This window comes from Homo sapiens, chromosome 2 (assembly GCF_000001405.40).
Source record: "Homo sapiens chromosome 2, GRCh38.p14 Primary Assembly".
NCBI lineage: Eukaryota > Metazoa > Chordata > Mammalia > Primates > Hominidae > Homo > Homo sapiens.
Window position 1 is genome coordinate 181,203,529 of NC_000002.12, and position 27,210 is coordinate 181,230,738.

Consider the following 27,210-nt stretch of genomic DNA (forward strand, 5'->3'; position numbering starts at 1 on the left):
TATGTAGCATTTTATTATGGCAGTCCCATCCAACTAATACTAGCTAATGCCATAGGCATGCATGAGTCAGACTATTCTGATTGCTGCCTTAACTGCTATCCATTGTACCCCACCCTTGCCCTTGATGATGAGGCTGTAGATAAGGAATCTAAGGCACAGGCAAGTTAAGTAAGGTATCCAAGATTACACAGTTAGTAAGTGATAAATTAGGATTTGAACTCTAAATGAGTCTATCATGCTGTATCTCAACCAGGTAAGGAGATTTTAAAAGTATGCTTGCCTTGGGAACTTTATATCCAGTACCTTTTTAAAAAAGGAATTGTTGGTATAGCTTCTAAATGGGCTTCATAAGAAGTTTAAAAAATTATTTTGGTTTTCACTGGAATGGATTAAAGAATCCATTCTGAATTTCTTGGACTATTTGAAAATTTTTATTTTAGAAATGTTTGAATGCATGCCTGAGAAATGCTGAGCTATAAATAATCTCTGTCACTGTATTCCTTTTTTTTTTACCCCATGAAGTGTCCAAAAGACAGAAGAAGCATCTGATGGGCTGAGCCTTGGTCAAACCCAATTTCTATCTGCCAGCTAAATTGAGTCATATCCTTGAATAGAGAGGAGAAAAATAACCAAATGCAAGAATTTACCCTGTTGTGTGAATGCAACCCAAATGTGGTTCAAGATATTCTCAACAATTGCCTTGTACTGAGACACTCAGCACTTTGTTGGTTCTCTAGAATACATCCAAGTTTATAATATAGTGAGAAATATATGAGAAATTTATATTTTTCTAAAAATATTGTTTATGGAGGGTAGGATTGCTGTTGCATAAAGCCCAGCAGAAACCTTATAAAATTCTACTTTAAATTGTTTCATTTTTATCTTCAAAGTTCCTCTCCTTGCCTTTAGCTTCAACTGTTATTTTTTTTCCTTCACTTGTACAGACCCTGAAAAGCTCCCTTGGCTATTTGATCCTTTCAGTTCTGTGCAAACTTTAGTTAACAAAACAAATGCCCTATCTTCAGTAGAGCAGCAAAGACCTAAATGTAAGATCCAAAAGATAAAACTATGGAAAGAAAACATATGGGAAATGCTTCCAGAAATTGGTTTTGGAAAACATTTTATAAATAAGGTGAAAAGGTGCAGACAACAAAAGTAAAAATAAACAAATGGGATTATGTCAACTAAAAAGCAAAGGAAACAATCAACATAGTGAAAAGACAACCTACAGAATGTGAGAAAATATTTGCAAACTATTCTTGTGACAGGAGATTAATATCCAGAATATTAAAGAACTCAAACATTTCAACAGCAAAAAAAAAATGACCAAAAATGTACAAATAATTGATAATTGAACAGACATTTCTCAAAAGAAGGCATACAAGTGGCCAAGAAATGTGTGAAAATAAAAGCTGAGTATCACTAATTAACAGGGAAATGGAAATCAAAGCCACAATGAAGTATCATCTTACCCCAGTTAGGATGGTTATTATCAAAAAGACAAAAAGTAGTGAATGCTGGAAAGGATGCAGAGAAAAGGGAACTCTTAAGCTCTGTTAGTGGAAAAAATAACTATACGAAAGAGATAATCTGCACTCTCATGTTTATTGCAGTGCTATTTATAATAGCCAAGGTATGTAATCAACCTAGGTTTCCAGCAACATATTAATGAATAAAGAAAATGTGGTATAGACAATGGAGTAATATTCAGCCATAAAAAGAAGAATCTTGTCATTCAAGTCAACATGGATGGAACTGTAGGACATTATGTTACGTGAAATAAGCAGGAACAGGGAGTTAAACACCACATGTTCTCACTCATGTGGAAGCTAAAAAAGTACAGTTGATCTCACAGAAATACAAAGGGAGCAGAGTATACTAGAGACTGGGAAGGGTTGGGGAAGGGAGGGATAGAAAGAGATTTGTTAAAGGATATAAAATTACAGCTAGATAGATGTGTATTAGTCTGTTTTCACACTGCTATAAAGAAATACCCAAGACTGGGTAATTTATAAGGGAAAGGTTTGATTGGCTCACAGTTCCATATGGCTGGGGAAGCCTCAGGAAACTTACAATCATGGTGGAAGGGGAAGCAGCCACATCTTACATGGTGGCAAGCAAGAGACAGCTAGCAAGAACAGGGAAAACTACCTTATAAAACTATAAAACTATATAACTATCAGATCTAGTGAGAACTCACTCACTATCACAAGAACAGCACGGAGGAAACCACCCTCATGATCCAATCACCTCCCTCTCTCGATATGTAGGAATTACAATTCGAGATGAGATTTGGGTGGGACAGAGAGCCAAACCATATTCTGCCCTGGCCACTCCTAAATCTCATGTCTTTCTCACATTTCAAAACAAATCATGCCTTCTCAACAGTCCCCCAAAAGCCTTAATTCATTTTAGCATTAACTCAAAAGTCTCACAGTCCAAAGCCTCATCTGAGACAAGGCAAGTCCCTTCCACCCATGAGCCTGTAAAATCAAAGCAAGCTAGTTATTTCCTAAATACAATGGGGATACACGCATTGGGTAAATGCTCCTGTTCTACATGGGAGAAATTGGCCAAAACAGAGGGGCGACAGGCTCCATGTAAGTTCAAAATCCAATAGGACAGTCATTAAATCATAAAGTTCCTAAATAATCTTCTCTGACTCCAAGTCTCACATCCAGCTCACACTGATGCAAGAGGTGGGCATCCATGGTCTTGGGCAGCTCCACCTCTGTGGATTTCCAGGCTATAGCCCCCTTCCCAGTTACTTTCATGGGCTGGCATTCAGTGTCTGCAGCTTTTCCAGGAGCATAGTGCAAGCTGTCAGTGGATCTACCATTCTGGAGGACAGTGGCCCTCTTCTCACAGCTCAACTAGGCAGTATCCCAGAGGGGAATTTGTGTGGGGGCTCCAACACCACATTTCCCTTCTGCACTGCCCTAGCAGAGATTCTCCATCGGGGTCCACCCCTACAGCAAACTTCTGCCTGGACATCCAAGCATTTCCATTCATCCTTTGAAATCTAGACAGGGGTTCCCAAACCTCAATTTTTGACTTCTGTGCACACACAGGACAAACACCATGTGGAAGCCACCAAGGCTTTAGGCTTGAACCCTCTGAAGCAATGGCCTGAGCTGTACATTGACCCCTTTTAGTCATGGCTAGGATGCAGGGCACCGAGTCTGGAGGCTGCACAGAGCAGTGGGGCTCTGGGCCCAGCCAAGGGAACCATTTTTCCCTCCTAGGCCTCCAGGTCTGTAATGGGAGGGGCTGCAGTGAAAGTCTCTGACATGCCCTGGAGACATTTTCCCCATTGTCTTGGTGATTGACATTTGACTTCTTACTCATGCAAATTTCTGCAGTGGACTTGAATTTCTACCCAGAAAATCGGTTTTTCTTTTCTACCATTTGGTCAGGCTACAAATTTTCCAAACTTTTATGCTTTGCTTTGCTTTGAAACATAAATTCCAATTTCAAGCCATCTCTTTGTGAACACATAAAACTGAATGCTCTTAGAATAATCCAGGATATATCTTGATAGAAATTTCTTCTGCCAGATATTCTAAATAATCTCTCTCAAGTTCAAAGTTCCACAGATCTTGAACAGGGGCAAAATGCCAGCAGTCTATTTGCTAAAACCTAGCATGAGTAATATTTACTCCAGTTCCCAATAAGTTCTTCATGTCCATCTGAGACCACCTTAGCTTGAACTTTAACTTCATTGTCTATATCATTATCAGCATTTTGGTCATAACCATTCAACAAGTCTCTAGCAAGTTCCAAACTTTCCCACATCCTCCTTTCTTTTCTGAGTCCTCCAAACTGTTCCAACCTCTGCCTGTTACCCAGTTCTAAAGTCACTTCCACATTTTTGAGTATCTTTTTAGCAGTTCCTCAGTACCTCAGTACCAATTTACTGTATTATTTCCTTTTTCCACTACTATTAAAAAATACCCGAGACTGGATAATTTATAAAATAAAGAGATTTAATTGACTCATAGTTCTGCATGACTGGGGAGGCCTCAGGAAACTTACAGTCATGGTGGAAGGGGAAGCAGGCACATCTTACATAGTGGCAGGTGAGAGAGAGCAAGCAAGAGTGGGAAAACTGTCTTATAAAATCGTCATATCTAGTAAGAACTCACTCACTATCACAGGAACAGCATGGGGGAAACTGCCCCCATGATCCAGTTACCTCCTTGTCTCTACATGTGGGTATTACAATTCAAGATGAGATTTGAGTGGGGACACGGAGCCAAGCCATATCAAGATATCAAGAAGGAACAAATTCTAGTGTTCTATGACACTGCAGGATGAATGTAGGTAATAATAAAATATATTTCAAATTAATAGAGGATATTGAATGTTTTCAACATAAATACTGTTTGAGATAATGAATATGCTAATTACTCTGATCTGATCACTATACATATGTATCAAAACAACACTATGGACCCCATGAATATGTATAATTATTATTGGTCAATTTTTAAAAAATTTAAAGGAAAGGTGAGGAGCCAAGATGTCCCACTAGATGCAGCCAAGGAGAGCTTCTCCAATGGAAAGAGACCAGACCATCAAGTAGACTGGCATATTCTGAAAAGATCTCTGGAAAGAAGGCATAGAGACTGGACAGAGGGAAGTTTCAAGCCCTGGGCTGAAAGAGGAGGAATTTGGGAACCCTGCATGGGATTGCCTAGCACAAAGACTTGTTCCTGGCTCTAAGGTGAAGGGGTAAGTGAAATAGGCATGGAGTGACCCATTCTTGCTATGGACCTCTGGAATCTTAGCTGTGGGAGATGCCATGACCCCCGTGGACATCTGAGTTGGCAGGGAGAACTTCCTGGGCAGTTGGCAGAGACAGAACTCCAACCTGTGTGTAGCACAGCCATGAATGCCCATACCCCTATACTCTCTCTACTCCTCCAGATGGCTGTAGCATTTGTTAGTTGCTGGACCTAGACAGAGCAGGATTGTCTTGTCCATTGGATGGGGCCAGTCTGATCTGAGTGTCCCTTTCCCATCTTTCAGCCTCTCCCAGGCTCACTACCTGTCCATACCCACTTGCAACACAGGCTCAGCTGCCTAGCCAAAGTGCTCACGAGTGGTCACTGCCATAGCTCTTTCACTGGCAGACCCAGCCTACTTGTCAGAGCACTTTTATAGACAGACCCCTGCAAGCATACATTTACCCACAGCCTTCCCCCAGTGGCACACACTCACCACTTGCCTCCAGTCCCCTAGTGCCTTGCTGATGTGTGCGTGGACCCCTTCCAGTCCTGCTGGTTCACATGTGCATGGGAACTCACCACTGTCCTACTGGCACACTTTTGCTGGCAGCCCCTATTGAAAGATTGTTGCTAGTGGACTTGGAATACTTCAGCCCCTCCAGCACTGCAGGTGGTTAACTTCAAGGAGCAAAAGAACAAAGTTGCAATCTTATTCCTAGCCCCCCAGCATTACATCACATGATTCGGAGTGCTGAGATGAGCCTTGACCCCCTAAATGCATTCAGAAATGAAGCCAATTGACTAAACCCAATTTATACCACAGTCAAATCTTCAAGGGACACTGAAGAATATAAAAGCAAAAAGCCTCATCCAAAAGATAGCAGCTTCAAAGACTAAAGGAACATCAACTCACATGGAAGAGAAAGAATGAACACAATAACTCTGGGAACTCTAAAAGCCAGAGTGTCTTCTTATATTCCAGATGACTAAACTAGCTCCCCAGCAATAGTTGTTAACCAGATTGAAATGGCTGAAATGACAGACATAGAATTCAGAATCTGGATGGCAAGAAAGCTCATTGAGATACAGGAGAAGGTTGAAACCCAAACCAAAGAAAATAGTAGAATGAATGTTGAAAGACAACATAGTCGTTTTAAGAAACAACCAAACTGAATTTCTGGAAATGAAAAGTTTACTAAAGGAATTTCAGAATGCAATTGGAAGCATAAATAACAGGACAGGTGAAGCTGAGGAAAGAATCTCAGAGTTCGAAGACTGCTCCTTTAAATTAATGCAGGCAGACAAAAATAAAGAAAAAAGAATTAAAGAAGAAGAAACCTCAAAGAAATATAGGATGATGTAGAGATCAAACCTTCAACACATTTCATTCCTGAAAGAGATGGAGAGAGAGAGCAAGCAACTGGAAAACATATTTGAGGATACTGTGTATGAAAATTTCCCCAACTTCACTAGAGATGTCAATATGCAAATTCAGGAAATTCAGAACTCTTATGAGTTACTATACAAGAAAGCCATTTCCAAGACACATAGTCATCAGATTCTCCAAAGTCAATGTGAAAGAAAAAAACCTTAAAGGCAGTTAGAGAGAAGGGGTAAATTACATACAAAGGGGACCTACTCAGGCTAACAGCGGACTTTTCAACAGAAACCTTATAAGCCAGAAGAGATTGGGGGCTTATATTTAGCATCTTTAGAAACGAAATTCCAACTAAGAATTTCATATCCAGTCAAACTAAGCTTCATAAGTGAAGGAGAAAAAAATCTTTTCAGACAAGCAAATGCTAAGGGAATTTGTTACCACTGGACCTGCCTTACAAGAGGTCCTTAAAGGAGTGCCAAATATGGAAATGACAGACCATTACCTGCCACCACACAAAAAAAAACTTATCTACATAGCCCATTGACACTATAAAGCACTGTACAAACGAGTCTGCATAACAGTCAGCTAACAACACAATGGCAGGATAAAATCTTCACATAACAATATTAACCTTGAACATAAATAGTATAAACACTTCACTTAAAAGACACAGTGGCAAGTTCTATAAAGAAGCACAACCCCACTGTATGCTGTCTTCAAGAGACTATCTCACATGTAATGATACCCATAGGGTCAAAATAAAGGGATGGAGAAAGATCTGTCAAGAAAACAGAAAATAAAAAAGAACGGGGGCTGCTATTATTTCAGCCCAAACAGACATTATACAAGCAACAATCAAAAAGGACAAAGAAGGACATTATATAATGATAAAGTGTTCAATTCGACAAGAAATTTAACTATCCTAAATATATATGTACCCAACACTGGAGCACCCAGATTCATAACACAAATTCTTAGAGAGCTACAAAGAGAATTAGATAACCACACAATAATAGAGACTTCAACACTCCAGTGACAGTTTTAGGCACATCATCAAGGCAGAAAACTGAAACTTGACACTTGACCAAATGGACATTTGACCAAACAGACACCTACAGAATACTCCACCCAACATTAACAGAATATACATTCTTCTCATCTGCACATGGCATGTATTCTAAGATTGACCACATGCTTAGCCATAAAAAAATTCTCAATGCATTTTAAAAAATCAAAATTATACCAGTTACACACTTGAATCACAGCACAACAAAAACAGAAATCAATACCAATAAGATTTCTCAAAGTCATACAATTAAATGGTAATTAAGCAACCTGCTCCTGAATGACTTTTGGGAAAAGAATGAAAATAAAACAGAAATCAAGAAATTATTTTAAACTAATGAAAACAAAGATACAACATACCAGAATATATGGGACACAGGTAAATAGTGTTAAGACTAAAGTTTATACTGCTAAATGCCTACATCTAGAAGTTAAAAAGATCTCAAATTAAAAAACTAACATCACACCTAGAGCAACTAGAAAAACAAGAGCAAATCACTACAAAGCTAGCAGAAGAAAAGAAAGAACCAAAATCAGAGCTGAACTGTATGAAATTGAGGTATAAAAATCCAGATAAAAGATCAACAAAAACAAAAGTTGGGTTTTCAAAAGAATAAATAAGATTGATACACTGCTAGCTAAATGAAGAAAAAAAGAGGTGATCAAAATAGACATAATCAGAAATGACAAGCTAACATTACCATCGACCACAAAGAAATAAAAAAAAAAACTCCAAGATGATTATGAACATCTGTATGCACACAAACTAGAAAACCTAGAAGAAATGAATTGAAAAATATAACCTCCCAAGATTAAACCAAGAAGAAATCAAAATCCTGAGCAGACCAATAATGAGTCCTGAAATTGAATCAGTAATATAAAATCGACCACCAGAAAAAGCCCTGGACAAAGCAGATTTATAGGTTAATTCTACCAGATGTACAGAGAAGAGCTGGTACCAATCCTACTGAAATTATTCCCAAAAACCTGGAAGAAAGGATTTCACACTAACTCATTCTGTGAATCCAGCATCATTGTGATATCAAAACTTGGCAGAGACACAATAAAAAAAGAAAACTTCAGGCCAATATTCCTGATGAACATAGATGCAAAAATCTTCAATAAAATACTAGCAAACCAAATTCAGTAGCACATGAAAAAGCTAATCCACCATGATTAGCTTTATTCCTCAGATGCAAGATTTGTTGAGTCTATGCAAATTAATATACACAAATAAATACATGTGAAAATATATGTAAATAATTGTTGATAGAATGCAATGGGAAAATGACTCCCCATTCAATAAATGGTGCTGGGATAACTGGCTAGTCACATGCTGAAGAGTGAAAATGGACCCCTTCTTTTTACCATATACAAAAACTAACTCAAGATGGAGTAAAGACTTAAATGTATAACCTAAAATTATGAAACCCAAGAAGAAAACTGAGGAAATGCCATTCTGGACATACACATTGGAAAAGATTTCATGACCAAGTTTCCCGAAGCAACAGCAACAAAAACAAAAATAGACAAATTGGACTTAATTAAATTAAGGAGCTTCTACACAGCAAAAGAAACTATCAACAAAGTAAAGAGAAAATCTACAAAATGGGAGAAAGTGTTTGCAAACTATGCATCTGACAAAGGTCTAATACTCAGAATTTATAAAGAACTTAAATCAACAAATAAAAACAACCCCATAAAAAATGGGCAAAGGACATGAACAGGTATTTCTTCAAAGAAGACATAGCCAACAAGCAAATGAAAAAATACTCAACATAACTAATTGTAGGGAAATGCAAATTAAGCTGCAATGAGATACTATCTTATGGCTATTATTTTGAAAACTCAGAAAAACTATTATTTTTAAAATCAAAAAATTAAAGATGTTGGTGAGGTTCCAGAGAAAAGGGAAAATTTATACACTGCTGGTGTGGATGTTAATTAGTTTAACCACTATGGAAACCAGTTTGGAGATTTTTCACAGAACTTAAAACAAAATTACTATTCAATCTAGAAATCCCATTACTGGGTATATACCCAAAGGAATATACATCATTCTACAAAAAGGCATGCATAGGTATGTTCATTGCAGGATTATTCACAATAGCAAATATATAGAATTAACCTAGATATCTGTCAACAGTGGACTGGATAATAAAGACGTGGTATATATATACCATAGAACACCTCCCAGCCATAAAAAAGAATGAAATCATGTGCTTTGTAGCATCATGGATGGAACTGGAGGCCATTATCCTAAGCAAATTAACACAGGAGCAGAAAACTAAATACTGCACTTTTCACTTATAAGTGAGAGCTAAATATGGTGTACACATGGACACAAAGAGGGGAACAATAGACACTGGGGCCTACTTGAGGGAGGAGGGTGGGGGAAGGGTGAGGGTCAAAAAACTACCTATCAGATACTATGTTAGTGAGCATAGTACCTGGGTGATTAGATTGTCTGTACACCAGACCCCAGTGACATGCAACCTACCCATCTAACAAATATTCACATGTACCCCTTGAACTGAAATAAAATTGGAAAAAAATATGAATAATAATATTTTATTTTAAAAATTATTTAAAAAACTACTGTCTACAGGTAATGTTGGTGTGGGATTGGGCATTGTATAAGAAAGTAGGATGTAGAGGAAACTGTTGAACAACTCCAGGCTGCCTGCCTTGCTTTAAAGACACTCAAATTCAGTACAAAACAAACATCCAAACAAAAAGTAAAAAGCAAAAAGAACACTTATGCTAGCTAACCAAAATATTTCCAAGGGCAAGATTTAGTTGTTTTGCTGTTTCTTCTTCACTGTACCTTACTCTACCCTAAATGGTTTTTTCAAAATATTCACCCAAGAAATATGAGGCTCTTTCAGAGCAGGAATTCTAGGGTAAGAAAATATATTTTTTTCTGTGCAGTGTTTGAATGTGCTCATTTATTTCAGATGTAATGACATTAGGGTGACAAGTATTGGTTTTTACATGTACGCTTGAACTTCATTTGTATTATGTAGAAAATACTTTGAGTAACAGGTTCTTCAGGAGTCAAGAATCTGTGTTATATTTACAAGTATTTTGAATTCCCTTTATATATTTTGAGTCTTCCTCTTGCTTCCCTCCTTAGAATGTGGTGCTATAAAATATTTTCCTCCTCAGATCATTCTAAGGAGGAAAATATTTTAACAGCAGTGCATAATGACATGTAGACGTGATGAGAGTCATACTTCACGTGTGATCTTTAGGGCTTATAGGTAGGAAAACTGGTTCATCCATGTGAAATCACAACAGTTTAATTTCAGCCTAAATCAGAAAACCAACTCTCAATTAACAGCCTGCATCCTGATTCTCCACTTACTCTGCTATGTGGTTTTAGGTGACAATTTTGTTTTCTAATCTAAGACTCTGGATGAAGTGCTGACCCATTCTAAGCTGATGCAGAGGCTTAAATTAAAATGAGATACAAGTAGAGATTGGCAGGGACCTGGCATTTTGGCAATTTTCTCATTTTGATAATTTTAACATTGCCCTTGTTTGAATCACTTCAGGGCCAAAATACATCTATTTCACATTTATGCAAAACAAAGCAATGAAATCTTGGTGGGAAGGGGCACAATTATCTTGTTCTATTTTTTTTCTCAATTATTAGATTTTCAGTCATGGATTTTGTAGCATCTCTGTGTGTGGTATTTTCAAAGAATAATGTAACTGAATAGACTATTAATGCATTTAAAGCTAAACATTGATGATGTGTAATGAACAACCTGCTAAATGTTAATACAATTTATCCTTTTTAAAATTTATAAACATGACATATTGCATGCACTTAGTGCTAATCTATTTTAGACATTCATTTGGGTTGACCTATGACCATAATATATTATGTTCCTTGAGATATTTATCTTGTCATTTGGAAACGAGATTACAATTAATGGGACACACATGACTTTAAATTACTACTTCAACTAGAGATGTGTGAGTAATGAATTAGCCATAGCTTTGAACCCCTCTGCTTATAATTTAAATTACCAGCCTTTAGCTGGTACTTGATTGTGATCCATTAAATAAGTCACAGAATCAAAGAACCACATATTGTTTTTGTTGCTAGCTCTATCAGGGATATTTTCCCATTTAATTTACCTAACCCCAGGCTAATTTATCCAAATTCATATATTAAAAATAAACATGAGAGAGAGCACTTATGCATTTTGGTTAACAGTAAAATAAAATCATAGCCAGAGTCTATCCAAACTAGATGTACAAAAATTATCCTTTTTCTGCTGAACTTTTAAGGAGCAAACAAAAAAATGATATTGGAGAAAGTGAGCTCATATGAGAGACTTCATCTGCAAAGCATTTTGCAGTAGAGGACTTCTGCTATAGTTTGAATATTTGTCCCCTCCAAAACTCATGTTTAAACTTAATCCCCAATGTTGCAGTAATGAGAGGTGGGAGTTTTTAAGAAGTAATTGGACCATGAAGACTCAGGCCTCATGAATAGATTAATCCATTCATGGACTAATGTTAGCACACTTTGCCTCCTGGCCATGTGATGTCCTGTGCCATTTCAGGACTTTGCAGAGTCCTCACCAGCAAGAAGATTCTTCACCAGATGTGGCCCCCTTGACTTTGGACTTCTCAATCTCCATAACTGTAAAATGTAAATTCCTTTTCTTTGTAAATTTCAGGTATTCTGTTATAAGCAACAAAAAATGAACTAATATAGCCCCTTAATAAAAAGTTTAATTTCTTATATTTTATATACTCCTTTCTCAACACTGACTTTGCTAGACTATACATTCTGGGAAGCACAGAATAGAAACAATAAATATTTATTAAGTGATGTCTGATAATAAATGATAACCATAGTAATAGATCCCTAAAAATCCTGAGTAATGGCAGATTAAATAATGCTCAGTAGCCTCCATTTGGTATGACTGGACGGATATATTTTTATTGTGTGTATTTAAGGTATACAGCATGTTTTGATATATATAATGAAATGATTACTATGGTCAAGCAAATTAACATATCAATTTCCTCACATAATTACTATTTTTGTGATAAGAGGACCTAAAATCTATGATCTTAGCAAATTTCTGGTGTACAATGCAATATTATTAACTATGGTCATCATACCATACATTAGATCTTTTGGATATGTACATATTCATTGAGCTCTTACTGTGTGCTAGGCACTGCACTAAAGTGTATTTTATGTATAAACTCATGTTTTAGATATTAACTCATATACATATATAATACGTAGTATACGTACTTACATGGACCATATACTTTTCTTTTTTTGAGACAGAGTCTCACTCTGTCACCCAGGCTGGAGTGCCGTGGTGCAACCTCAGCTCACTGCAACCTCTGCCTCCCGGGTTCAAGCAATTCTGCCTCAGCTTCCCAAGTAGCTGGGATTACAGGCCCGTGCCACCACATCTGGCTAATGTTTTTGTATTTTTTTTAGTAGAGCTGGTGTTTCACCATATTGGTCATGCTGGTCTCGAACTCCTGACCTCAAATGATCGACCCACCTCAGCCTCCCAAAGTGCTGGTATAACAGGCATGAGCCACCATGCCTGGCTTGGCCCTATACTTTATAACACATAAATAATTTAATATATATGAAACCTCTCTACAACAAGATCACAAGTTTCTTGAGAGCAGAGGTTATGTTTTAGACATCTTTAGTATTTTCCCCCATGTACCTGGTAAAATGCTATTCACAAAGTCTTAGTAAAAGACTTACTGAATACAGGTTAAGATGTTCTTTTGTGACTTCACATTTTATAGTGCACTAGAGTGCAAATAGTCCCAAAGGGCTACTAGAACTATAAATTACCCAAATCAATGACAAACAGCAATAATCTGAGAAATACAGCTTCCCTTTTATTTGTTAAACTCTTGTAGATTTGCTAGATTCGGTCCATTAACAGATTAAATGCCTGGTACTAGGCTGGGGTGGAGATCAGTAAACTTTTACACATTTATTATCTAACTGAAGAACCCAGAATAGAAATATATGAACCAAAGAACAATTAAACCCTACACCATATGGTACCATTTAGAACATGAGTTTAGAGAAAAAAGATCTTAGAAGAGGGAGCAAAATAACAGAACAGTTAGGGACATAGGCCTTTGAGTCAGACAGATGGGGCTTGAATATGGTTTCTGCTACATTTTAGCTGTGTTACTTGAGACAATTTACTTCTCTGATCTTTTCATATCTTTAAAATGGGATCCTACCACTCTTAATGGAATTGTGGCAATTAAATATGGTCATATACATTAAGCACCGAAAACATTGCCTTATACAAGGTAAACAACCATTGGATTTGTCAAAAGGCTTCAAAGGGAAGTGATACTTTAGGTGGACTTTAGAGGATGGGACTTTAGGTGAAAGAGGAAAAGATCAAGACCACTTTAGGTTTAGGAAGAACATAAACAAGAGAAGACAGAAATGACGATGGCACATAGGAGCAAAAATGAGGAAATCTGTTTGTTAGAGCTAAGTAGAAGGAGAGAGTTGGCAGCAGTGGGAAATTAAATTTTTTTCTGGAAAATGGGTTCAGATAATTGGAAGCATTGATTACACGTCAGAGATATTTCAACTGAAAAGGACCCATAGAACGGAGGATCCTCAGTTGCTCTGATCTCTGTATAGAGCACTCTCAGATGTTTAGATGACATATTATTGTGACTGAAGTATCCCTTAATATTAGCCTTTACTGCCAGCATTTGACACGTTGTCTTGAATATTAAGGGCAATAAATACATCGTTTTCAATATAAATTAATGAATCTGCATGCTGACAGTCCTCTGCTTCGCTTTCTGTTGCACAGGTCTGATGTGTGTATATGTATATGCATAGCTATCCCTCTATGAAAGAGGAAGACTATGTGTTTAATAACGATGACGAATAAGTCCTTAGGAATTATGACTAAAGTTTTGTAGAAGTATAATATACAGTAGATCCTATATAGTCTATGTATTTGTTCACTTTTGTCTTCCATTGTGGTGCTAAATTCTTTGATATCACTTGTATTCTCTCAAAGAAGTATTCCAAAATGTCTGGTTTTAATAATAAAATTAATTTTAATGTATATAGAATATCTATATTAAACCCATTTTCCAAGTTTGAAAATGAGAAAATGTATATCTTTTGACAATTTAAATCTCAGTTTATTGAACTTACTCTAAAGTTTAGTCAGAAAATTGACCTACCCAATGACACAATATGATGCATTGTCATAAAATAAAATAGGACATTTTTCAAAATATCAAATTTAATTTTAAGTAAAATTAATTTATTACATACCTTCTAGAGAGTTTGGTTTTCCCATGCCCAAAGAGTTGGGAATAACCCATATTTATTGAATTTGGCTATTGCACTCTAAAAAAAGTCTTTGAAAAAACAAATTGTTATGCTCTGTCCTTTAGAAATAGCTATTTGAGGAGTTCATAGAATTTTCCCAGATGTCTGAATTGAAGCTGTCTGATTCTTATGTAGATTTTCTCCAACATACAATATCTGGTTTTCAGAGTTGTGGCTCACAGGAAAATGGCTGCCTAACAGAGACAGAAGTATAATTACGATATCATTAGAAATATTTAAATATAAATAACTTTCTATATTTGTCCTTGTCACTTGTTTGGGTTTTGACAGGAGGAGCCAGTTTTGATGGGATTCCTGTGGCCCCATAGATTTTTATCCTGTTATCCAATTTTCCGCTGCACTGCTCTCCTTCTGTCAAACTGACTGCCAGCCAGCCTTACGTTCTCCCGAGAGGAGGAGCAAAGCTTTGTATTATAGTGGGCAGAAGAAGAACAAAAAACTGATTTTTCCCCTCCAAGTGCTATATTCTCTCTTTCTAATGGAAAATTCCATTGTCTGAGGGTTTGAGAGAATAGCAGGGTAGGAAAAAAGGAAGACTTCACATTTTCATTCAATAGAGCAAGATAATGTTGCAAAGCAGACTGAAATCCAAAGCTGAGCAGCATACAGATCAGCAGACAGTTTTCCAGGATGCTCAGAGTCACAGGAGTTGCTGAGATGCTGCCAAAGCTGGTTTGTGCTGAGTATTCCCTAACATTTCAAATATTGGCTTGCTGTCATATAAAATGAAAGGATACATACCAATCATGGTGTAAGGAAAATGAACATTTTTCTTTCATGTGAAGATGTCACAGTGGAAGCTATTTTACTTGAGAGTTTCCCATTGAGATTTGCTAATAGTGCAGGGCTTGGTGCAGAGATCAGACAGGTGACAAAAATGAGTGGGTTAGATGGGTCATTAAACAATTGGGAAGAATAAGAAATGGGGTGGGGTGGCCAGCTTAGGCGCCATCTAAATACCAAATACCAAATTGCAAAATACCAGAGCAAACCAAAACATAGTCTTAGAATACCAAATTGGAAAGTTCTTCAAAATATCATATTGCATAACCCAAACCAAACAAAACATACTCTTCAGGCCACACGTATCTTTCAACTGAATATGGCCCATGGCCTTCTGGATGCAATATCTGCATTAGAGAAAGGGTAGTCTTACCCTGCAGAGGAGCCAATGCTATATGAGGTAACTGAAAGGGCAGTTTCATATAGCCATGATTACTTGTTGGTGAGATGAAGACCTTATTGTGCACCAGGAACTTTATTTTGTTCTTTATTTATATCACTTAAGCCTGATAGTAGTCCTTGAAAAATTGATTCATTACATGCATACAAGGCATAAAATTTAGCATACATTTTTCTCATTTATATTATAACTAAAACTATGTGAGTTGCTATCAGAATCTTGAGAATATATCATGATGTGGGTCAGATTTTTGTACTCATAAGTACAAATATTTATGCAAAATTTAAAATGTTGAACTGTGTAAGAAATTCTGCTGTCAGATGTTAAAATTTTAGTTCCATTTTGAGTTTAGCAAAATGCCTTTCTGCTTAAGATACTATTTTCTCATAAGGGCATGAGTACTTATAATATTGGAAATACAGCGGGGCATGGTGGTATACATCTGTAGTCCCAGCTACTGAGGAGACTGAGGCAAAAAACTGAGGCTTGAGCCCAGGAGATCAAGGCTGCAGTGAGCTATGATAGCATCATTGCACTCCAGCCTGGGCAACAGAGTGAGACCCTGTCTAGAAAAGAAAGGAAAATTCTGGGAATGTAGAAGAAATTCATTCCTCCAAGTTTTCTTAGTGGTCAGTGCTGGAAACTGGAGTTTATGCAACCTTATAAATTAGGGATTTTTGTTTTTACCCTTAGTTTCATGGAAAATTTTAAAAAATTAATCTACCTTCTGACATTAAAAGGGGATTTTGATTCCTTTAAAGTTCTAGGCTTTGGGGAGTTGCTTAATAAATGTTATGTGAATGTTTGTGTCACTTTAATATTTTAAGTCATTGCATCCTGTTCATAAATGCATATACTATATTCTTGATGGTATTTTGAAAACTTTTTAGCCCATTCAATCAAATTACATTTTAAAATATATAATAATTTAGAAAATTTGGAAGTCCAGTGTACATGAACTGATGTTTTGCAAATGGTTAAACACCCAAAACACTATGTAATTTGCTTTTTAAAAATTATATATATTTACAGCATACAATGTGATGCTTTGATACAGGCATACCTTGTGAAATGATTAAATCAAGCCAGTTAACCTATCCTTCACCTCACTTACCATTTTTTGGTGATGAGATAATTTAACATCTCTCTCTCTCTCTTTTTTTTTTTTTTTGTTTGATTTTATTTTTCAAGACGGAGTCTCTCTCTGTCTCCCAGGCTGGAGTGCAGTGGCGCCACCTTGGCTCACTGCAACCTCCACCTCCTGGGTTCCAGTGATTCTCCTGCCTCAGCTTCTGGAGTAGCTGAGACTACAGGCACATGCCAACATGCCTGGCTAATTTTTGTACTTTTAGTTTAGATGGGGTTTCATCATGTTGGCCAGGCTGGTCTCCAACTCCTGACCTTAGGTGATCCGCCTGTCTTGGCCTCCCAAAGTACTGGGATTACAGGTGTGAGCCACCGTGCCCAGCCAGATCTACTCTTTTAGCAACTTTCAGGTATACAATATATTATTAAGTATAGACATCATGCTGTACATTAGATCTCCAGAATTTATCGATCCTATCTAACTGAAACTTTATACCCTTTGGCCAACATCCCCACCTCCAATTACCATTCTCGCCCTTGCTTCTATGAGTTTGACTTTTTTAGAATCCACATATAAGTGAGATTATATAGTATTTGTCTTTCTGTGCCTGGCTTATTTCACCTAGCGTATTGTCCTCCAGGTTCCTCCATGTTGTCATTAATGACAGGATTTTTGTCTTTCTTAAGGCTGTGTAGTATGACACTGAATATATATACCACATTTTCTTTATCCACTCATCAGTTTAACTAACACTTAGGTGTATTCTCTATCTTGGCTATTATGAGTAATGCTGCAATGAACATGGGAGTGCATGTATGTCTTTGACATGTTGATTTCAATTCCTTTAGATATATACCCAGACATGGGATTGCTGGATCATATGGTAGTTCTATTTTTAGTTTTTTGAGGAACCTCCATACTGTTTTCCATAACAGCTGTGCTAATTTACATTCCCACCAACAGTATATGAGGATTCTCTTTACTGTGTCATCACCAGTGTCTATTGTGTTGTGTGTCTTTTTGATCATAGCCATTCTAACAGGTGTGAGGTGATATCTCATTGTGGCTTTGTTTTTCTTTGCAAAAAAGAAATTAGTGATATTGAGCATTTTTCTCATGTATCTGTTGGCCATTTGTATGTGTTTTTGTGAGAAATGTTTATTCAAGTCTTTCGTCTATTTTTTAATTGGATTGTTTTCTTGCTATCAAGTTGAGTTCCTTATATATTTTAGACATTAACCCTTTCTCAGATACATGGCTTGCAAATATTTTCTCCCATTATGTAGGTTGGTCTCTTCCCTCTGTTGATTTTTTCCTTTGCTGTGCAAAGCTTTGTAGTGTGATACAATCTTATTTGTCTATTTTTGCCTTTATTGCTTGCACTTTGGGGTTATATCCAAAATAATTATTGCCCAGTCCAATATCCTGAAACTTTCTCCCTGTTTTCCTCATTTTAGAGTTTCACATCTTAGGGTTAAGTCTTTAATCTATTTTGATTTTTATATATGATATGAGATAAGAGTCTACTTTTATTCTTCTGCATATGGAGATCCAGTTTTCCCAGCACCATTTCTTGAAAAGACTGCCATTTCCCCATTGTGTATTCTTCGTATTCTTGTTGGAGATTCTTTGGCTATGTTGGTATAAGTTTATTTCTCGGCCCTCTATTCTGTTCCATTGGTTTATGTGTCTGTTTTTATGACAGTACCATGCTATTTTCACTACTATAGTTTTGTAATATTTTGAAATCAGGTAGTGTAAGGCTTCCAACTTCATTCTTTTGCTCAAGATTTTTTGTCTATTTGAGGTCCTTTGTGACTTCATATGAATTCTAGGATTGATTTTTCTATTTCTGTAAAAAATGCAATTGGAATTTTGTTAGAGATTGCATTGAATCTGTAGATCGCTTTGGCTCCTCTGGACATTTTAGCCTTATTAATTCTTCTAATCCATGAACACGGGCTCTCTTTCCAATTATTTATGCCTCTTCCATTTCTTTCATCAGTGCTTTATAGTTTTTAGCGTAGGGATCTTTCACCACTGTGGTTAAATTTATTCCTAAGCATTTTTTAATGCTATTTTAAATGTGATTGCTTTCTTGATTTTTTTAGATAGTTTTTGTTCCTGACTTGTTTTTGGCTCACATTAGTAGATATAGTTAATCATGTACCATCTTTTCCCCTCCATTTTAAAGGACATGTATAAAAGACAGATTAAGAAGAATGCATGATTGGTCAGTAGCAGCATTTTATTATCCACACTAGCTTTTAACAAAGCTAAAATCAGGTAGTCAATATATTTGTAGTAGAACTGGCTAAAAATCCAACTATTTTTTAAAAGTGTATTTTTGTTGCTGTCATATCTATATGTTAACTTTACCTCATGAAAATGAAAAAAAAACTATCTTAGTATAAAATGAAATAAATGTACTTATATTCTACTCTCTTCTATGAAGTATTCTGCTCATTGACCATCTATAACTTATCAAAAAATTCTGACATTAACAGGATAAATAAGATAGATTGAATTGCCTGGATATCTACCTAAGATTGTACTAAAAACTTGTGGACATATATACAGAGAAAAAGAAGCTACAAATTTTGACTCATATTCTCTGCCTGTCTGAAAGAGTAGAAGGACCATATACCAATATTTTCTGACTTTAATCACAGGGGCAAACATACCCTGAGTTTTACAATTTTTTAATGAACCAAGGTTGTAATAAAAGAACTCAACTGCACAGTTTCAGGAAACTGTTGAGGTGGATTTTCCTGCTCTTTACTTAAATAAATTTAAAACCAGAAATAAAAAATCATGAAAAACTACTTCCATGTGTATATTTTAATAGAGTTGAGGCCATGGAAGATCTCCCTTAAGATTTGCTGGCTTCCTGTTTGTGTCTTGCTTGTATCATTACACACTTAACCTGCCCCATTTTTCAATTTATTGCTTCCAATAGCATTTTAAAGGTGTCTTTTTTGCTGGCCCATATGGAGGATGTTGATTCTGTTGTTCCAATAACAGTATGAAATATAGTTTGTGGTTGCTTTTTGGGCTAAAAGAAACTCATTACAATTTCCTGTTCCTTTGTGTGTCGCCAAAAATGTTATTGTTACTCAGGTCTGGAGATGTCTTTAGAATCTGTGCTACTTTTTAGACTTTTACATCAGCACATTTTTGTAAATGCAGCAAAATTTGTCCCAACAATTGAACTCCAAAGGATCAGCGATCTTCATCATTACCAAAGACAAGTAGGAAAACAATCAAACTTTTTAGGGGAAGCAATTCTTACAAATTTCTAAGGAGAGTCCATTTGTGCAGTTCTTTTTATGTACTACGCAACATAAAGGGCTAGAACTCTTCACTCTTCTACAAGTTAAGATTGTAAAAGAATCAATCACAAATCGAAAAGGAAAAGAAAATGGAAAATATTTAACAAAAGATTATAGTTCTCTAAAGCTTTGCTACTCAAAATGTGGTCTGTTTCACATCAGCTGGATGTCCAAAATCAGAACCTTAGGCCTTACTTCAGACTTATTAAATAAAAATCTGCATCTTAACGATCTCAGGTGATTTGTGTGCACAGCCAAGTCTCAGAAGCACATAGTTTCTATTCAGTCAACAGAGTAATTCCAAACTTATCACCAGATGATCTTCTTATAAAGCCTTGAAGTTTACATAGGCAAACTGCTTTGTAAGTACAGCCAGAATAATTTTTGTTTTAATCTGCAACACAAGTAAATTAACCTTAGTAATATGGTCAATTTAGTTTTTAATTGCTATTGAAAGTTTAAAGATAGTTAAGCTTAGAAAAGAATGTACAAAAGTTAAACGTCAAAGGTTACATTTAGAAAACCAAAATACCTACAAACATGCTGTAAAATGTCCATGTGTGTTTAAGTGCATTAATCTTCAAATTCATGCTTTTCTTTTATTACTTGAGTTGCTGACGGGATAGTTACTTTTGACTTATATGAGTATAAAAATGCCACTGGGGAAGGAAACATGTTTTTCTGTTCTCAAAATTCAAACTGGCTGAATGAATTAAGCTCAAACTTATGAAAATAATTCACCTTCAGGCTGAGCCTTTCTTATTAAAGTGGCAACCGGAGTTGAGAGTGACTTGAGTGGCATTTGTGAACACCTACAATGATAGGTTTTAAAAAGGGATATTTTCTCCCTTTAGCATTCACAGTTGATCATTATTTTTGAAAACTGATTATTGTTATTTGTTCTATTATTTTCATGCCTATTGATCTGATGGTAGAGAGATGTTTGTTTTCTTGAATGTTTTCATTTTTCATTTTTTTCCTCCTTTCCTCTGTTCTTTACTTTCTTTCTCTTTTTCTCCCTCTCTGTCTTTCTCTCATTTAATTATTGATTGCCCCTTGTGTGCATGGCTTTTTTTCAGACTACAGAAAGATTTAAAAGAAACAGAAAACATAACTCTTGTCTTCAAAAATATCACAAATTCCTAATATTTTCCTGAGTTAATATTCCCTCTCAACATGCTCTACCAAACTGTTTCTCTTGTGGTCATTATATATTCAGGGCTAATTCTGTTTTTAACTTTGTTTTCTTTGTTTCTCCTTCCTCACCATCCTTGTTTTGTTATAAGTAGATCAACAGTTACTATGGAAACATATCACTGTTTTGGGTGTGGTGAGTACCACAATTTATATATGATTCTTAAAATATGAGTACATGAAACTAAGATCGCACGTTACCCTTTTGATATTCATGCTTTGTTTCTAGATATGCTTAGCCTTGACTAAGATGTCTGTCATTCTATAAAACAGCTTTTACTCAGTTCAACACATTTGAAATTCTATTTCAGACATACCGAAAATATTATGTTAATCACAAACATGTTTGTATTAAGCAAAAATTCTATTATTTAATATCTTGCATAATTAACAAGATATAGTAGAAGGATATACTGATATGGTCCTAAAATAAATGAGTTGTATCCAATTCTATAACAAATTTGCTAATCCCATAAATCCTGAAAAAGAAATCAAAGCAAATGAATGTAAATATTAAAAATATACTTTAAAGTCTATATTTTCAGACCTGTGGAATCTTGCCTATGGAAAGGAAGGGGAAGTTTTATTTTCCTTCATTTCATGCCACAGAATGAACAGTGTTGGTAGGAAAAATTCTTTCTCTACCAATTTAGGCTTGAGTGATGGGACCTGTGAATTAATTGACAATAGACCCAGTAGTTAAATAAATCCCTAAATAGAAGGATTTATATATCAGTTTAACAAAGTGGGTGGGGAAATTTAGAGTTGCAATAGCTGTGGAAGGTTCTATTGGACATTTTCATCCTAATGACAATAGGCAGTCTCCTTCTTGCCTAAAAGCTCCCCCATACGGGGGGTTAATGGCAGCTGTGTTTTCCAGGAGGCTCTACTTTTGCCAGAGAAGTAAAGTTTAGATAAAATTTATTTCTCCCATCAACAACTTTTCCAAATTTTCTCACTGAACTTTTGTTTAAAAATCTATGTTTTGCATTTATAATACAAACTGATTATCCCTAATCTGAAAATCCAAAATCTAAAATGCTCCAAATCCCAAAACTTTTTGAGTGCTGATGTCATGCCACAAGTAGAAAATTTCACACCTGATCTCCTTTGATGAACTGCAGTTGAAGTTCAGCCAAAACTCTGTTTCATGAACAAAATTATTAGAAATATTTTATAAGACTACCTTCAGACTACATGTATAAGACGTATAGAAAACGTAAATTAATTTTTTGTTTAACCTTGGTTCCCATCCCCCAAGATATCTCATTATATATATGCAAATATTCCAAAATTTGAAAATATTCAAAATCCCGCATTGATCCCAAGCATTTCAGAAAAGAGATACTCAACCTGTATACATCAATCCTCATTACAGTTGACCCTTGAATAGCATGGGCTTGAACTGCACAGGTCCATTTATACATGGATTTTTTTTTCAATAAAAGATACACCAAGTATAACTACCTTTCCTGCCTCCTTTTCCACCTTCTCACCTCTCTGCCTTTGCCACCATTGAGACAGCAAGACCAACCCCTTCTCTTCCTCTTCCTCCTCAGCCTACTCAACGTGAAGATGATGAGAATGAAGACCTTTATGATGATCTGCTTCCACTTAAAGAATAGTAGGTACATTTTCTCTTCCATACAATTTTCTTAATTTTTTTTCTCTAGCACACTTTATTATCAGAATATAGTGCATAATAGAGCATATAATTTATGTGTTAATCAACTTTTTATGTTATTTGTAAGGCTCCTGGTCAACAGTAGGCTATTAGTAGTTAAGTTTTGGGGGAGTCAAAAGTTATACATGGATTTTTTGCTGCACAGGGAGGGATCAGTGCCGCTTACCCCAGCATTGTTCAAGGGTCAACTGTATATTCAAATAAACTTAGGAAATGTGTGTTGGTATATACTTCATAATTATATCTCTGCCTCAATAAAAGAATTGGAATTTATTCTCTGTACTCTACTATCAAATATTAGAATTGATTAGAGTGGTAATGGGATTCAGGACATGTTACCCAAAATATGGCACCTTGGCATTTGAGAAAACAGCAGAAGCAGGAAGGCCACTCTCACCTTCTCACCCTTCTCACCTTCTTCTCACCCTTCTCACCTGAAGCATATAATAAAACCTAAGAAGATCACTCTTTGGCTTTCTCCTACCCTTCTTTTTTGAAGCAGGTCATGAGACCTTCATTTGAAAGGTGCCCTTCCTAAACCCAGAGGAAAGGAACATCTTTATCTTTGAAGGCACAGGGGCACAGAGAAGAATCAGAACGAGAAGGGCTTGCTAAACTCCCCCCAGTTTATTATTATTAGATCACACCCACTTTATCCAATCATACTTCTCCATATCTATCCATCTCTCCATCAGATCTAAGCATAAAAATACACTAGGTTACCTGTTTTTTTGAATCTTTGTTTCCTTATAAAGGCTACTGTGTCACATAAAGCTTACATTAAATAAATGAGTACGCTTTTCTCTTATTAATCTGTCTTTTTTTATTGGTGCCTCAGCCATGAATCTAGCAATGAGTAAGGAATGAAATATTCTCCTTCCCTATGGCTAGCATAGCACCTTTGTTAAAATTATAGCATGACAATACATCATACAACCAAAAGTGATACCAATGCGCCACATTTTCCTTTTATAAAGTATGCTTTAAAAAGCAAAGTTTAAGGAATGAACACAAATGGAGACACAGGCAATGGTAGAAGCATTTGGCTCCAGCCTATTCACTATGAGGTCCGCTAGATTTCTGAACTGCTCTATGCTGCTCAGTTTTCCTCTTGGGTTTTAGATTTCTGTTCTCTTTTCATGATCTCTTATTGTTTACATGACTATCTTTCTTTTGTACACTAGCTTCTTAAGGGAAAAGAGTGAACACAACTCAACTCTCCCCACCATATGTAGTGTCTGGTACATTGTAAGTGGACGACATGTTGGGTGAAATATGTGAGGGACCAAATTCTTATTTGTCCTGCAAGAAATAACCAATGATGGAAAAATTTAGGCATAGGTATATACCTTGGATTCTGAAATTAGGAAATGATTATATTCTCTGATTATGCCTGTGACCTGGGGTGTGGACAGAAGATATTTCTCCCTCTTATGAGTTCTTTTCTCACACATTTATAGAAATTAAGCCAGGAGAAGCAGCTACACAATGCAGCTACCCACTTTATTGACAGAGATCCAGGGATACTAGGGAAGCTGTGGCTATTGTAACATGCTTTTCCTGCCCCCCCAGCTAGCTTCTACATGGAATAACCACTGCTACTACATACATTATGCATGCAACATACATAAATTACTATTGCAACCACAATTACTAACTAATATGAGCATTCACCATTTATAAATACCAAGCCTTGTGCCTGGCACCTTACATAAAGTGTCTTATTTATTTTTTCCATCGCCCTAAAAAAGAAATAAGTTATCCCCATTTTACACTTGAGAAGACCAAAGCTAAGAGGGGCTAAACCCAGCTCAGTTAAAAAGCATTCCAAGGCTGGGTGCGGTGGCTCATGCCTGTAATCCCAGCACTTTGGCAAGCTGAGACAAGAGGATCCCTTGGGCTCAGGAGTTTCAGATCAGTGTGGGCAACATAATGAGACCTCATCTCTACAAAAAATTTTAAAAATTAGCCTGCATGGTGGCACACACACCTGTAGTCCCAGCTACTCATGTGGCTGAGGTGGGAGGATTGCTAAACTCAGCAGATGAAGGCTGCGGTGAGCCATGATCATGCCACTGTATTCCAGTCTAGGCAACAGAGTGAGGCCCTGTCTCAAAAAATAAAAATTAAAATAAAATTTAAAAAAGCATTCCAAGGCAGTTGCCCTGAATCATGCACCCAGTTGATGGGAGTGACCTCTCCTGTGGATGATTCTACAGTCAACAGAGTGCTAATACAGTTGAGGGCATAGAGTAGGAACTCAACATGTTTTGATTGGCAGTTTTATGTTAGCTCTGGGAGAATGCATGGCTAGGGATCTATAAAACAGTGAAGAATGGCCCTCAAATGTAAGTTTTATTATTATTATTTAATCTTTAACTAGCTTTTTAAAGTCAAGTCATTCGGAGAGTGAGTTAGCTATAATTTTATCTTTTTACCTTGAGATCAGCCCTCACTCTAATAACTTTTAATTATTAGAGTTGTGCAAGTTTTGGGGAGAATTTAAACAATCTAAGTAAAATCAAAGTAACACATGAATGTAGCTATAAATATATCTCTATATATTTTTTCCTGATGAATTCAACCACCCTGAGAAAAGTGTTACATGATTCAAATATGGTATATAAAAATGGTGATTCCAATGACTATTCTTTACTGAAAGTATTAAGTCTTAATCTGTTAGCATGGCTTTCCTACTCTTCTTTTACAAGATAGATTTGAGTTTGTAAATTTTAGTCTTTGCAACATTATCTACTCCAGGCACAGAGGAAGTGAGAAACTCCAAAACGTGTTCCACTGTTATATGAGCCAAAGGCTGGTCAGTGCCTTGTGGTGACAAGAGCAGCTAAAGCGGCTGTCACCCTCCCTTGTGAATCAGCCTCAGGAGATGAGGCAGCATGAATGGAGAGCTCTGGACTCCTTGTTGGGGTCAGGTCCCAAGCACGAATATCATCCCTAATTCCTAGGAGATTCTCACCTGGTGCTGCAGAAAGCCCCTTTGCAGCTTCTGTCCTTGAATAGAAGCACCTACATCCAAAACAAGATTTTGGTGACATTTTCTTTGAACAAAAGTATCAAGCAACATGCAATTATTCATTAAAACATACACATTTGAGTAACCCATTTTATCTAGGAGTTGCTTAATTGTAGACTTCTAGATTAATTTTAATGTAAATGAGTTGACAGTAGAGTAAAAAGTATGCTAAAACTAGTTCAGAATTAAAAACTGAAAGAAAATTGGAATAATTTATAAGTAATTTGTAAAATTTTTACATTTAAGAGAAACAGATCATGTCAGTTTCAAATATGTGTATTTGTTTATTTGCTCAAAGTTTATGACTTGGTCAATATCCATATCCATGATTTGTGACTAGTTTTTAAAAATATGCATAATTAAAATAATGAGTGATTTTTGTAAAGTTACAGCCAAATATTTTTATTCTCTTCTCCCTTTTTGATATCTATCACTGATTCTTTATCATGTTTGCTAGATTAGCTATTACCTGTGTAACTTGCTTATTTATATTATGCATAAGTTATCTAATTCTCTAGAATCCTATATCTATGAATTTTCTGAGTTAATACCCAAGTAATACCTCAAAAATACCCATGTAGTTTTCATTGATAAGAAATAAAGACCATGTTTTTATATCTGAAACTGTTATCAAACACAGGGTGGCATGCCATCTTATCATTGTTCCTGGTGAGGTGGATCTAGAAAGAGGGAGAGGGAAAGTCTTCTGCTTCCTCTCACCTCTTCCTTTAACATGCATTCCCTCTACAAGCCTGGCCACAGTGCCAAAAACTTCTTTGTCCCCAGATATGAGCCATATGCCTTTTAATTCCCTATGATTGCTTTGTTGTCTGGAGTCTAGAAAGTTTTCTTGGGTTCCAAGTTTCCCTTTCCTTAAAAATGAGAATTTTCTTGAAATGGCTTAATTACCATGACCTCCTTAATAAAACAAAGTTGACAGTAATGGAGAGTAAAATGGTACTAAGAACAGGCATGATGTTAAAGGAGGCTACCTGAGGGTGGAAAAGTGACTGAGAATAGAGACTGATTCTGATAATTCTATATCATGTGTCAGTCAATGCTTTCTATTTAGAATATTGATACCATACATAGCATAGGGTTTGATTGTT

At 36.2% G+C, this 27,210-nt stretch overlaps 1 long non-coding RNA gene across 1 annotated transcript in view; it reads left to right on the forward strand.

Moving 5' to 3' along the window:
- Positions 1 to 27,210, forward strand: part of LINC01934 (long intergenic non-protein coding RNA 1934) — a 275,717-nt gene that overhangs the window by 79,692 nt on the left and 168,815 nt on the right. Inside the window, exon 2 of the long non-coding RNA NR_130784.1 lies at positions 22,943 to 23,007. This is a non-coding gene — a long non-coding RNA (long intergenic non-protein coding RNA 1934). The remainder of the gene's footprint in view (positions 1 to 22,942; positions 23,008 to 27,210) is intronic.